Source organism: Homo sapiens, chromosome 5 (assembly GCF_000001405.40).
Source record: "Homo sapiens chromosome 5, GRCh38.p14 Primary Assembly".
In the NCBI taxonomy this organism is placed as follows: Eukaryota; Metazoa; Chordata; class Mammalia; order Primates; family Hominidae; genus Homo; species Homo sapiens.
In genome coordinates this window covers 77532293-77544687 of record NC_000005.10, presented here as the reverse complement: position 1 = coordinate 77544687, position 12395 = coordinate 77532293, and the positions used below count along the sequence as shown (strand labels likewise).

General features: G+C 38.5%; 1 protein-coding gene across 3 annotated transcripts in view; it reads left to right on the top strand.

Annotated features, from left to right (window-relative positions):
• The window catches only part of WDR41 (WD repeat domain 41), a 189645-nt gene that overhangs the window by 75890 nt on the left and 101360 nt on the right, over window positions 1-12395 (top strand). For 2 of the 3 annotated variants that reach the window (XM_047417350.1, XM_047417349.1), the window contains one exon: window positions 4152-4230. The exons of the other annotated variant lie outside the window; for it this stretch is intronic. In XM_047417350.1, the coding sequence (XP_047273306.1) occupies window positions 4220-4230 (11 nt within the window). In that variant the 5' untranslated portion in view covers window positions 4152-4219. The remainder of the gene's footprint in view (window positions 1-4151; window positions 4231-12395) is intronic. 3 annotated transcript variants of the gene reach the window in all.

Sequence of the window (12395 nt, the reverse complement as noted above, 5' to 3'; positions counted from 1 at the left end):
AGGTCTATTAGTAATTATTTTATTCATTTGGCAGCTCCAGTGTTAGGTTCATATATATTTAGGATTGTGATATTTTCCTCTTGGACAAGGCCTTTTATTATTATATAATGTCTCTCTTTGTCTTTTTTAACTGCTATTGCTTTAAAGTTTGTTGTGTCTGATATAAGAACAGCTACTCCTACTTGCTTTCATTGTCCCTTTGCTTGAAATGTCTTTTTATACCCCTTTACCTTAAGTTTGTGTGAGTCCTTATGTATTAGGTGAGTCTCTTGAAGCCAGCAGATGGTTGGTGACTTCTTATCCATTTCACGATTCTGTATCTTTTAAGTGGAGCGTTTAGGCCATTTACATTCAATGTTAGTATTGAGATGTGAGGTACCATTCCATTCATTGTGCTATTCGTTGCCTGTATACCTTGATTTTTTGTTTTTTTGTTTTTGTTTTTTAAATTGTGTTTTTGTTTTATAGGTCCTATGAGATTTATGCTTTAAAGAAGTTCTGTTTTGATGTGTTTCCAGGATTTGTTTCAAGATTTAGAGCTCCTTTTAGCAGTTCTTGTAGTGGTGGCCTGGTAGTGGCAAATTCTTTCAGCATTTGTTTGAGAAAGACTGTACCTTTTCTTCACTTATGAAGCTTAATTTCACCGGGTACAAAATTCTTGGCTGTTGTTTTGTTTGAGGAGGCTGAAGATAGGGCCCTAGGCCCTTCTAGCTTTCAGGGTTTCTGCTGAGAAATCTGCTGTTAATCTGATAGGTTTTTCTTTATGGGTTACCTGGTGCTTTTGTCTCACAGCTCTTAAGATTTTTTTCTTCATCTTAACTTTAGATAATCTGATGACAATGTGGCTAGGCGATGATCTTTTTGTGATGAATTTCCCAGGTGTTCTTTGTACTTCTTGTATTTGGATGTCTAGGTATCTAGCAAGGCAAGGAAAGTTTTCCTCAATTACTCTCCCAATTATGTTTTCCAAACTTTTAGAATTCTCTTCTTCCTCAGGAACACCGATAATTCTTTGCTTTGGTCGTTTATCATAATCCCAGACTTCTTGGAGGCTTTGTTCATATTTTCTTATTCATTTTTCTTTGTCTTTCTTGGATTGGGTTAATTCAAAGACCTTGTCTTTGAGCTCTGAATTTCCTTCTTTCACTTGTTCAGTTCTATTGCTGAGATTTTCCAGAGCATTTTGCATTTCTATAAGTGTGTCCATTGTTTCCTGAAGTTTTGATTGTTTTTTTATTTATGCTATCTATTTCCTTGAATATTTCTCCCTTCACTTGCATCGTTTTTTGGATTTCCTTACATTGGGCTTTGCCTTTCTCTGGTGCCTCCCTGATTAGCTTAGTAACTAACCTCCTGAATTCTTTTTCAGGTAAATCAGGGATTTCTTCTTAGTTTGGGTCCATTGCTGGTGAGCTAGTGTGATTTTTTGGAGGTGTTAAAGAACCTTGTTTTGTCATATTACCAGAGTTGGTTTTCTAGTTCCTTCTCATTTGGGTAGGCTCTGTCAGAGGGAAGGTCTAGGGCTGAAGGCTGTTATTCAGATTCTTTTGTCCCACAGGGTGTTCCCTTGATGTAGTACTCTCCCCTTTTTCCTAAGGATGTGGCTTCTTGAGAGCCGAGATGTAGTGATTGTTATCTCTCTTCTGGATCTAGCCATCCAGCAAGTCTACCAGGCTCTGGGCTGGTAGTGGGGGTTATCTGCACAGAGTACTGTGATGTGAACTGTCTGTGGGTCTCTCAGCCATGGATACCAGCACAGTATTTGGGGTGTCTCCTGAGTCCTGCAAAAGCAATCCACTTCCATCAGGGGGTCTGCCGGTCCTCTCAGGTTTCCTGATTCATTCCTGCAGTCATTCTGGAGCAAAAATTCACAATGTGAGCTTCACATGCTGCTCTGTCCATCCGAGTTGGAGCTGAAATCTAGTCCTGCCTCCTATCTGCCAATGACTTCTTTTTTCTATTTAGATGTCTTTTATTTATTTCTCTTGTCTGATTGCTCTGGCTAGGACTTCCAGTACTATGTTGAATCTTAGAACATTTTAATTCTAATCATACCACTCCTGGCTTACATGCTCTGTCTTATATGTTATTATGTTATTGTTATGTAATAGAACTTTATCATTTTTGTTTAGCTCCACAAAACCTTTTCATTTTTATTTTATAAGAATCAGTGTTTTGTTTTCAGTCTATCACATATCTACATTTTTCTCTTTTTACAGCATTTTTTATCCCTTTTTTAATTTCCAACTTTTATTTTAAGTTCAGGGATACACATGCAGGATGTTCATGTTTGTTACACAGGTAAACATGTGCCATGGTGGTTTGCTGTACAGATCATCCCATCACCTACGTATTAAGCCCAGCACCCATTAGCTATTTTTCCTGATGCTCTCCCTCCTCCCACCCTTTACCCTCCAGTAGGCCCCCGTGCGTGTTGTTCTTCTCCCCCATGTGTCCATGTTTTCTCGTCATTCAGCACCCACTTACAAGTGAGAACATGTAGTATTTAGTTTTCTGTTCCTGTGTTAGTTTGCTGAGGATAATGGCTTCCAGCTCCATCCATATCCCTTTCAAGGACATGATTTTGTTCCTTTTTATGGCTGCATAGTATTCCATGATGTATATATACCACATTTTCTTTATCCAGCCTATCATTGATGGGGATTTAGGCTGATTCCATGTCTTTGCTATTGTGAATAGTGCTGCAATGAACATACGTGTCCATGTATCTTTATAATAGAATAATTTATATTCCATTGGGTATATATCCAATAGTGGGATTGCTGAGTTGAATGGTATTTCTGCCTCTAGGTCTTTGAGGAATTGCCATACTGTCTTCCACAATGGTTGAACTAATATATACTTCCACCAACAGTGTAAAAGTGTTCCTTTTTCTGCCAGGTGTGGTTGCTCATGCTTCTAATCCCAACACTTTGGGAGGCCAAGGCAGGGGGATCACCTGAGGTCAGGAGTTCGAGATCAGCCTGGCCAACATGGCAAAACCTTGTCTCTACTAAAAATACAAAAATTAGCCTGGCGTGGTGGTGGATGCCTATAATTCCAGCTACACAGGAGGCTGAGGCAGGAGAATCACTTGAACCTGGGAGGCAGAGGTTGCAGTGAGCCAAGATCGCGCCACTGCACTCTAGCCTGGGCAACAGAGCAAGACTCCATCTCAAAAAAAAAAAAAAAAAAAAAAAGAATTCCTTTTACTCCATCTCCTTGGCAGCATCTGTTGTTTTCTGACTTTTTAATAATAGCCATTATGACTGACATGAGATGGTATCTCATTATGGTTTTGATTTGCATTTCTCTAATGATCAGTGATATTGAGCTTTTTTTCATGTTTGTTGACTGAATGTATGTCTTCTTTTGAGAAGTGTCTGTTCATGTCCTTTGCTCACTTTATATTGGGGTTGTTTGCTTTTTTCTTGTAAATTTGTTTAAGTTCCTTGTAGACTCTGCATATTAGACCTTTGTCAGATGGATAGATTGCAAAAATTTTCTCCCATTTTATAAGTTGTCTGTTCACTCTGATGACATATCTACAATTTTCTTTGCATGTCAGACTTTCCACCTGAGATTACTTTCCTTCTGCCTGAAGTGCATACACAGAATTTTCTTTAATGAGAATTGGTTGGTAGTAAACTTTCTCAATTTCTTTTCCCCCTACTGAATTATATTGATTTTCTCCTTGGTATAGCAGTAGCCTCAGATTTTGTACTGGTAGGGGTTTTAGAAAAATTTCTTTTTCCAGGGCTTTGGCTCCCATTTCCTCTGCCAATTTGAAACAAGACATTCTCCTTTTAGTCATCAAAATATCACCTTCATTAGTTGAAGCCTGTATACCATAAATGTGAAACAGGTTTTATACAATTTTGTTGGAATACAGCAGTTTGACTTTTCTTTCCTTCCTTCCTTCTTTCCTTCCTTCCTTCCTCCCTCCCTCCCTCCCTCCCTCCCTACATTCTTTTCTTTTCTTTGACAGGGTCTTGCTCTGTCACCCAGGCTGGAGTGCAGTGGCGTGATCATGGCCCAAAGCAGCCTCAACCTACCTGGGCTCAGGTGATCCTCCCACCTCATCCTCCCTACGAGCCTGGGACTAAAGGCATGTGCCACCACACCTGACTAATTTTTGTTATTTTTTATAGAGACGGAGTTTCACCATGTTGCCTGAGAATCATGTGATCCTCCCAGCAATTTGAATGGACACAAAACTATGTTTGAAATGTAAGAATGTCATTAGCTCTTAGCAGTATGTTTTAAAAGGATCATTACGTTACTTGGGCCTGGGTAGCATAGCTTATAAATGTCTAGCCAGTCTTGAGAAGTTTCAAGAGTTTAGAATTCTTAAACTGATATTTCTGTGACCATATATCCCCAAGGCAGCTTGAGACAAGACCAGTTGGGGTTCATGCTTCTGCTGCTATTGCATATGCTGTGATATGTTTGCAGAATTATCAAAGCAAGACTCATCCCACGGGGTCCTGCCAGCTGCTAGAGTAACATTTGACACCCTCTCGCTTTACAGTGTACTGGGAATTCTATCAGGAGTGATGAGATGCCATAACCCTTCATTTCCCTCTTAGCTGGTTATCTTCCCTTTTTCTCCTTCACTGGGTTGAGGAAAGCTAGGTAATATTCTTAAAGATTGCTTATGTTTTACTTTGTATTTTATTTTGTGAGCCTGTTCTGTATGTAAAGGCCCAGCTATACAGAACCTACTCTTGTTTCCATCACTGGGAGGAAAAAATCTTAATCAGACTGCCATAAATTTGTTGGGAGGGTGGTTAGGTACCATCTTAGAATCCTGACCACTGAGCTGTCAGGAATATTCATTGGATATAATCCAAGTTTATGTGATTATCCTTCTATCCTAAATATTACCATGGTTACTATTCTTGCCATTCTTGTCACTATTGTGGTGTTTTCTTTTAGCTGTTAGTATAAAACACTGTGCTAAGCCTTTTAAAGCAACCATTTGAAGTTGGTACTATTTGTTATCCTCATTTTACAGGAAACAGAGGCTTAGAGAGATTAAGTAACTTGTCCTCAGCCACATGCAGCAGTCAGGGTTCAAACCCAGACTTGCTCTTAACCAGTTTTGTGTACTGTATTGCCTTTTTAATAAAAAAGTGTTCACCCTCTGAAACCTTACTATTCAAAGTACACCCCCTAGACCAGCAGGACTGGAATCACCAGAGAGCTCATTAGAAAGGCAGAATCAGCCCCACTCCACCCCAGACCTACTGAATCACAATATACATTTTAACAAGATCTGCCAGGTGACTCTTACGCACATTAAAGTCTAAGAAGCATGATCCAAAACAGAATATAAAAAAGGCAGATTAACTTGATTAGGGAAGACATTCCAGAGCACAAAGAATATGAATTGATATTTATAGAAGGCTAATTTCCACTTTTGTCTGCAGATGGTGCAATGAATTCAATGCTTATATCTACCCAAAATTCTGATGCTGAAACCCTTATCCCCAGTGTGATAGCATTTGGAGGTGGGGTCTTTGGGAGGTAATGAGGTCATGAGGGTGGAGCCCCTCATGATGAGATGAATGCCTTTATAAAAAGAGATACCAGAAAGATGATCTCTCTCTCTCTCCTCCCATGAAGATACAGCAAGATGGCCACCTGCAAACCAGGAAGAGAGCCCCTACCAGGCTGGTACCTTAATCTTAGACTTCTCAGCCTGCAGATTTGTGAGAAATAAATGCTTGTTGTTAAAGCCACCTAATCTATGGTATTTGTTATAGTAGCCCAAACTCACTGAGACAGATGGTGTGAAATAATATAGAAAAAGACTTCTGAGAAAAAGTAAACAAAAACCTCTCTAGTTTACCAGTCATTACTTGAGTGGCCAATATAATTATCCTGATTTCATTACGGGCACATAGTGGATATTCAGAACTACTTTAAAATTTGTTACAAGACCAGCTTCTTAGCATGGAATGCAAGCCTTCCCATCTGACTTCAATGTACATTTTTAAAGAATGAAATCCTGTCTTTTTGGAATCTTATGCAGTCACAAAAAAGAACAAAATCATGTCCTTTGCAGCAACATGGATGTAGCTGGTGGCCATCATCCTAAGCGAATTAATGCAGGAACAGAAAACCAAATACCACATGTTCTCACTTATAAGTAGGAGCCAAGCATTGGATACACCTGGACATAAAGATGGGAACAATAGACACTGGGGAATACTATAGTGGGGAGGGAAGAAGAGAGGCAAGGGGTGAAATGAAATGCTACCCATTTAGTATTATGCTCACTACCTGAGTGACAGGATCATTTGTACCCCAAACCTCAGTGTCACACTACCCATGTAACAAACCTGCACATGTACTTCCTGAATCTAAAATAAAAGTGGAAGTGGAAGTTATTTAGAAAAGAAAAGAAATCATGTCTTTTGCAGCGACATGGGTAGAATTGGAGGTCATTATCTTAAATGAAACAGGTCAGACACAAAAGATTAATATTGCATGTTCTCACTCATAAGTGGGAGCTAAATAATATGTATAGATGGACATAGAGAGTGGAATCATGGAAATAGAGAGTGGAGAGATTCAGTAGGATGAAGGAGTGGGAGGGGGTGAATGATGAGAAATTATTTAAAGGGTACAATGTATATTATTTGGGTGGTGGATACCCTAAAAGCCCTGACTTGACATCTACACAATCTATGCAGGTAAAAAACTGCACTTGTACCCCATATGTTTATATAAAACCCCCAAAATACCCATACATTTTTAGTCCTAGTCCCATATATATTTTCGTCTATTCTATACTCCAGTCACATTTAAATAATCTCTCATTTACTTATTCATCTATATAATACCTACTTGTTGAGCACTTACACTTACCAGGCATGCTGGAAGCAGTGTGTATTAATTATATTTTCTTATTTTCTATATTCTTGATGCTCTTGCTGAGGCCTTGCTGCTGGAGAGACCGACCCTCCCAGGGCTAGCTAATTCCTAGAGAGATCAAATGACTCCACTGTGAGCATATCTTTAACATACAAACCAACCAATCCAGAGCCCACTCCCCGAAACATCTCCTTTATCAAACTCTCACACAACAAGCCAATATTTCTTCTGCCCTAAATGACCCCAGGGCCAGGTACTGAACAACTAGGAAGCACTCCAACAGCCCAGAGTCCGTCAAAATTATTCAAACTGTCTAATCATTAGCTTGCTCATTATACCTACCCTGCTGCACCCACTCCTTCTTGTGAAAACCCCAATAAAGGCTCTGGGCCATGTTTTCTTCTCTTCCTCTTCGGCCTCCTGACCAAACATGGTCGGATTCCCCATGTGGATCTGCATGGGCATGTCCCTCCTATTTCCAGGGACTGGTGAGTAAAAACTTGTTCCTTCATATCAGCCATTTCTGGGCCTATGTGTCTTACCATACCTAATGAAAATAAATCCCAGTCACATTTTCCGAACGCAATGGTTAACAGTGGTTGCTCTCATGGAACCTAAATTCTAAAGCAGAAAGATAGGAGGGAAAAAGATGTAGGCAAGGTCGGTAAGTATTCCCTTGGAATGCACCAAAATGTCTGTACTGATTATTATAGCCAATATTTGTTTTGATTGGTCAGTGCTTATACCATAATACCACATATCAAATTTTTGAATAGCACCTCTGCATGTAAGCAAACCTATTCCCATTTTTCTTACCAGTCAGGTTTCCATAGAGAATAAAAGATGAGGCAGGAATTAAAACCTGTCTTGGAACTCAACATCCAGTGCCTTTTCTCTTTTAAAATACAATTCTGAACTATAGTCATCCATCACTTAATGACAGGAGTATGTTCTGAGAAGTGCATTGGTGGTTTCATCATGGTGCGAACATCATAGAGAGTACTTGCATAAACCTCGATGGTTTAGCCTGCTATACATGTAGGCTACACGGTACAGCCTATTGCTCCTAGGCTACACACCTGTACAGCAAGTGACTCTTCTGAATAATATAGGGAATTGTAACCCAATAGTAAGTATTTGTGGACCTAAACATAGAAAAGGTACGGTAAAAATATGGTATTATAATCTTACAGGATCAACATCATATATGTGGTTTGTCATTGACTGAAATGTTGTTAATATGGTGCATGACTGTACTTAACTCTTAAGCCCCTTTGACTTTGTTGGTGATGTCTTTTTTTCCTCGTCTTTGACTTCAGAATTTTTATTTCTAGTTTAACTTCTGTATCTTCACTGGAGTCTTCTCTGCTCTCCCCAGATAATTTTCATTACTTTTTTTTTAACACTTTGCTTATGAATCTCTGAGAGTCCTTGTTTCATTTATAGGTAGTTTTTATCTCTTTTATTGCACTCTAAGCTCCTTGAGATCAAGGAGGATATTTATATTACAGGGATATAGGTCCCCGGCACCTAGCACAGTACTCCACACAGTAGGATCTCAGTAAACATTGAAATTAAATGACTAATTAATCATCAGGAGACTTGCAGGGGGCTTGCTTTTTGGAATCTAAATTCTGAATATAATTCTCCTCAGACGAGCATAAACTTGGATGTACACATAATAAATGAGGCTATTTGCATTGAGCCAAGAAAACAGGGTAGCATTCTTTAGTGGCATTCCCAAGGAATGGGAAACTGATTAGACCAATCACCTTCAATTTTCTTTGGCTCAGACTTTGATGACCAAAGTTCATTGTGACAGTAAAATCCTTGGGCAAAAATTTTGACTGCAGAACTATCCATTCTTATAAGGGCAGATGAAAGAAAAACAATATGCACTGTAAATTTCTCAGTAGAGCTAAGATTGTCTTACACCAGCTAGGTAGGCAAATCTTAGCAAGTAGGCTTCATTTGTTCTCACTTTCATAATTTAAACTTCTGCTGTTGAGCTTATAACATAATACTCTAATCCATGGGCAGAGGCAATTTCGTCTTGTCATCTGGCAGCTGTTTATTAATACTGGTGACTGGGAAAGACTAGACAAATGAAAAAAGATGGTTTTTGTGAGTCCAGGATAAATGGCTGAAGCTAGGCCAACTGTTCCCTTTCCTGTCTGTCATTATGGAGTTGAAGACCCTAGAATTTTTGTGATTCAGGTAACCACTATGAGAACTACTTAATTGGTAGGATGTGGTAGAAAATAAAGTCATTAGTATTAGCCCTGTGTGCTAGTCATCCCTGCTTCTTTGCTGTGACTATACCGAGATATACGTATGCACAACACAGTTGTAACTGACATCAAAGTGAACATCATGGAATAGATTTCCAAGAAAGTTTTGTTGTTACCTTAAGGTCTGACATGACTTTTGACATTCTAAACCTCGGTGTTTATGAGAAACATCCATACGGCCACCCTTTGCATAAATATAGCATGTTTCTCCCCAGAGTGACATGGAGTGTTCTGTGCAGAAGGGGAAGATGGAGTGGGAGGATCTGGCCACAGACAATTAAGAGCTACAGTTCTTCTCCACAGCAAGCATAGAACATAAGGGGGGCAATTTAGGATAGGAAATGAAGGATGCTGGGTCCAGCTGAGACTGTAAGAGGAACTCAGCAAGATAGAAATGACCTGATTCAGACTGTCCAGCTAAAATTAACCATGACTCTTAAAAAAAGAAAAAACTCAAAAATGACTGGATCCATGAACGTCTTTGGTATTTACCCAGAACAGTTAATGTGCCACAAAATGTTTAAACATAACTATTGGGTTCACAAATATAAAATATAATCTTTAAACTGTTGAGTCTTAATTTGTACACATTTTATAAACACAGTCAAAACATCCCTTTGTCTGGGGAATAAAGACACTAAAACCACTACACATCATTTATTGTTTTTAGACTTTGATCTCTGAGAGCAGGACCTACTTCATGTTGGTATCCTCAGCTCCCAGACTATGCCTTTCTCACATTAAATGCTCAATAAGTGTTTGGTTAAATTGAAGTTTTGAGGCCAGGTCAGTGTGGCTCACACCTGTAATCACAGCACTTTGGGAGGCCAAGGTGGGAGGATAATTTGAGCTCAGGGGTTTGAGACCAGCCTGGGCAACATAGTGAAAGCCTGTCTCCACTAAAAATACAAAAATTAGCCAGGCGTGGTGGTGCATGCCTGTAATCCCAGCTACTTGGGAGGCTGAAGCAGGAGAATCACTTGAATCCGGGAGTTGGAGGTTGCAGTGAGCCGAGATCACACCACTGCACTCCAGCCTGGGTGACAGTGAGACTCTGTCTCAAAAAGAAAAAAAAATTGAAATTTTGTAGATGCTTTATTCAAAACTGTTTTTCATTGTCTCTGCTTAGTTACCCTTGCTTCTCATTTTTTTGTCCATATAAGGTCTTTCCCCGCCGCCCCCCACATATAGTGGTGTAGTTGCAAATTTGTTCTAGAATATTATCTGAAATTTTATGGTTTGAATATAATTTTTACATAGGACCTATGTAAATTTAAAGATTCTGATCCATAAAGAATATTCTAGTAGTTTATGGGATTATTTTTTAATAAGCAAAGAATGCTACATTCATTTTTAAAGTAAATAATACTTTTTTAAGTGTCTATTTAAACTTGTATTCTTGGGGTAGAATCTTTAGATTCAGCTGCAGCGGTGAACATTTTTACTAGAAATATTACATTGTATTTTATAGGTTAATATTCATATAATAGCTGTAACAGTAGTATGCCTTTCAAAACCACACACATAGATGATATTTGTAGAAGCTTATTTGGTTGGTGTACTGTAACAACTCCACAAAATAATTCTGTAGGATTTGCAAAGGAAGATGCAGTGCTGGGGAGACCAGCTCTTTAATATGTGGAAAAGCACAGGCATCACATAAAGAAGTAGCCCCTGCAAAGGGAGCCCGGAAAAATAAATCTGATAAGGTTTAAGGATATGAAGGGGCCCCTACACTGATCTGAGAGTGCTGTAGATTAGCAACAATAACAATATTAGTATATTATTTTACTCTTTTGTTTCTCCTTTGAACCTTAGGAGTGGAGAATTGAATTAATTATATAATTCTGTTCACAGCACACAACCATCATCATCCATTTCAGGCTCCTATCCCTTCAGTCCCTCCATCCTGAGCCTTGTTTCCACTTTCCTACCTCCCATAGCCATCCCCTACTCTAAAGTATTTGGGATAGGTATAGATGTAGGTATATATACATTGCCTGTACTTGGATAAGTATGTGTCTGAAAAACGTATCTTTGTATATGTGTTTTACATTACATAAAGGGCATAGATATAATTGTATTACTTTTTCCCACTCAACACTATTAAAAAACCAATCCATGTTACTCTATTTTTTTTAGAGTTCATTGCTTCTGACTACCTATCTTTCCTTAATATGTATGTATCAGATTTTACTTATTAGTTCCTTTTCTAAGAAACACGGAGGTTGCCTCCAACTACACACTACCAAAAGTAAATAAATAAACAAATGTTGCAAAGAACAGCCTATGCAGAGATCTGTGAGGAATTTCTCTGGGGTAGATATTTAGAAGTGGGGCCGCCAGGTGGTAGGCAGAATGCCTACTGAATTTCATGGGAAATACTTCCTTCTCCCGAGAGAGCTTGCTGGTTTATATTCCCACCAGCAATGTATGAGGGATCCCATTTCCTGATATGCTTGTCCATGTGTATGCAAGATATTTTTTACTTTTAAAAATTGTGAAATACAAAATACATGCAAGGAAGTACATAACATAAACATACAGCCTAATTATTAAAAAGCAAAAATTTAGGCATCCCAGTAAAGAAATAGAACATTGCTAGCATCCCCCACATGAAAGGCCCGTTTCCCAATCATAATCCCCTCCTTTCTCCCAAGTGTAACCACTATCCTGATTTTTATGGTAATCATTTCCTTGCTTTTCTTTTTACCTTTACCACCCAATAATTCATATTTACTGTATAATTTTTAAAATATTTACTGTATAATTTAGTTTTGCCTGTTTTTGAGTTACATATATGTTCTTTTGAGTCTTTCTTCTTTCATTTGCTATTATGTTTAGGAGATTCAACCATGTTGTGTACTGCTGTAGTGAGTTCATTTTTGGCTGTTATATAAGGTTCCACTGTGTGATTATAAACTACCCTACTGTTTACTTATCCATTCTACTGTTGATAAACATTTGAGTTTCCAAAAGTTTTTAGATATTATAAGTAGAGTTGTTATGGACATTCTTTTACAAGACTCTTGGTGCTCATGTACACTCGTTTATGTTGGATATATACCTACAAGAAGGATTGCTGGATTGTAAAATATCAAGATATTCAACTTCAGTGAATAATGACTAACAGGTTTCCAAAGTGGTTGTATTAATTTCCATCTCCACTAGCAGCATTTGAGAGTTCCTGCTATTTTAAGTTGCACTATACTTGTTATTGTC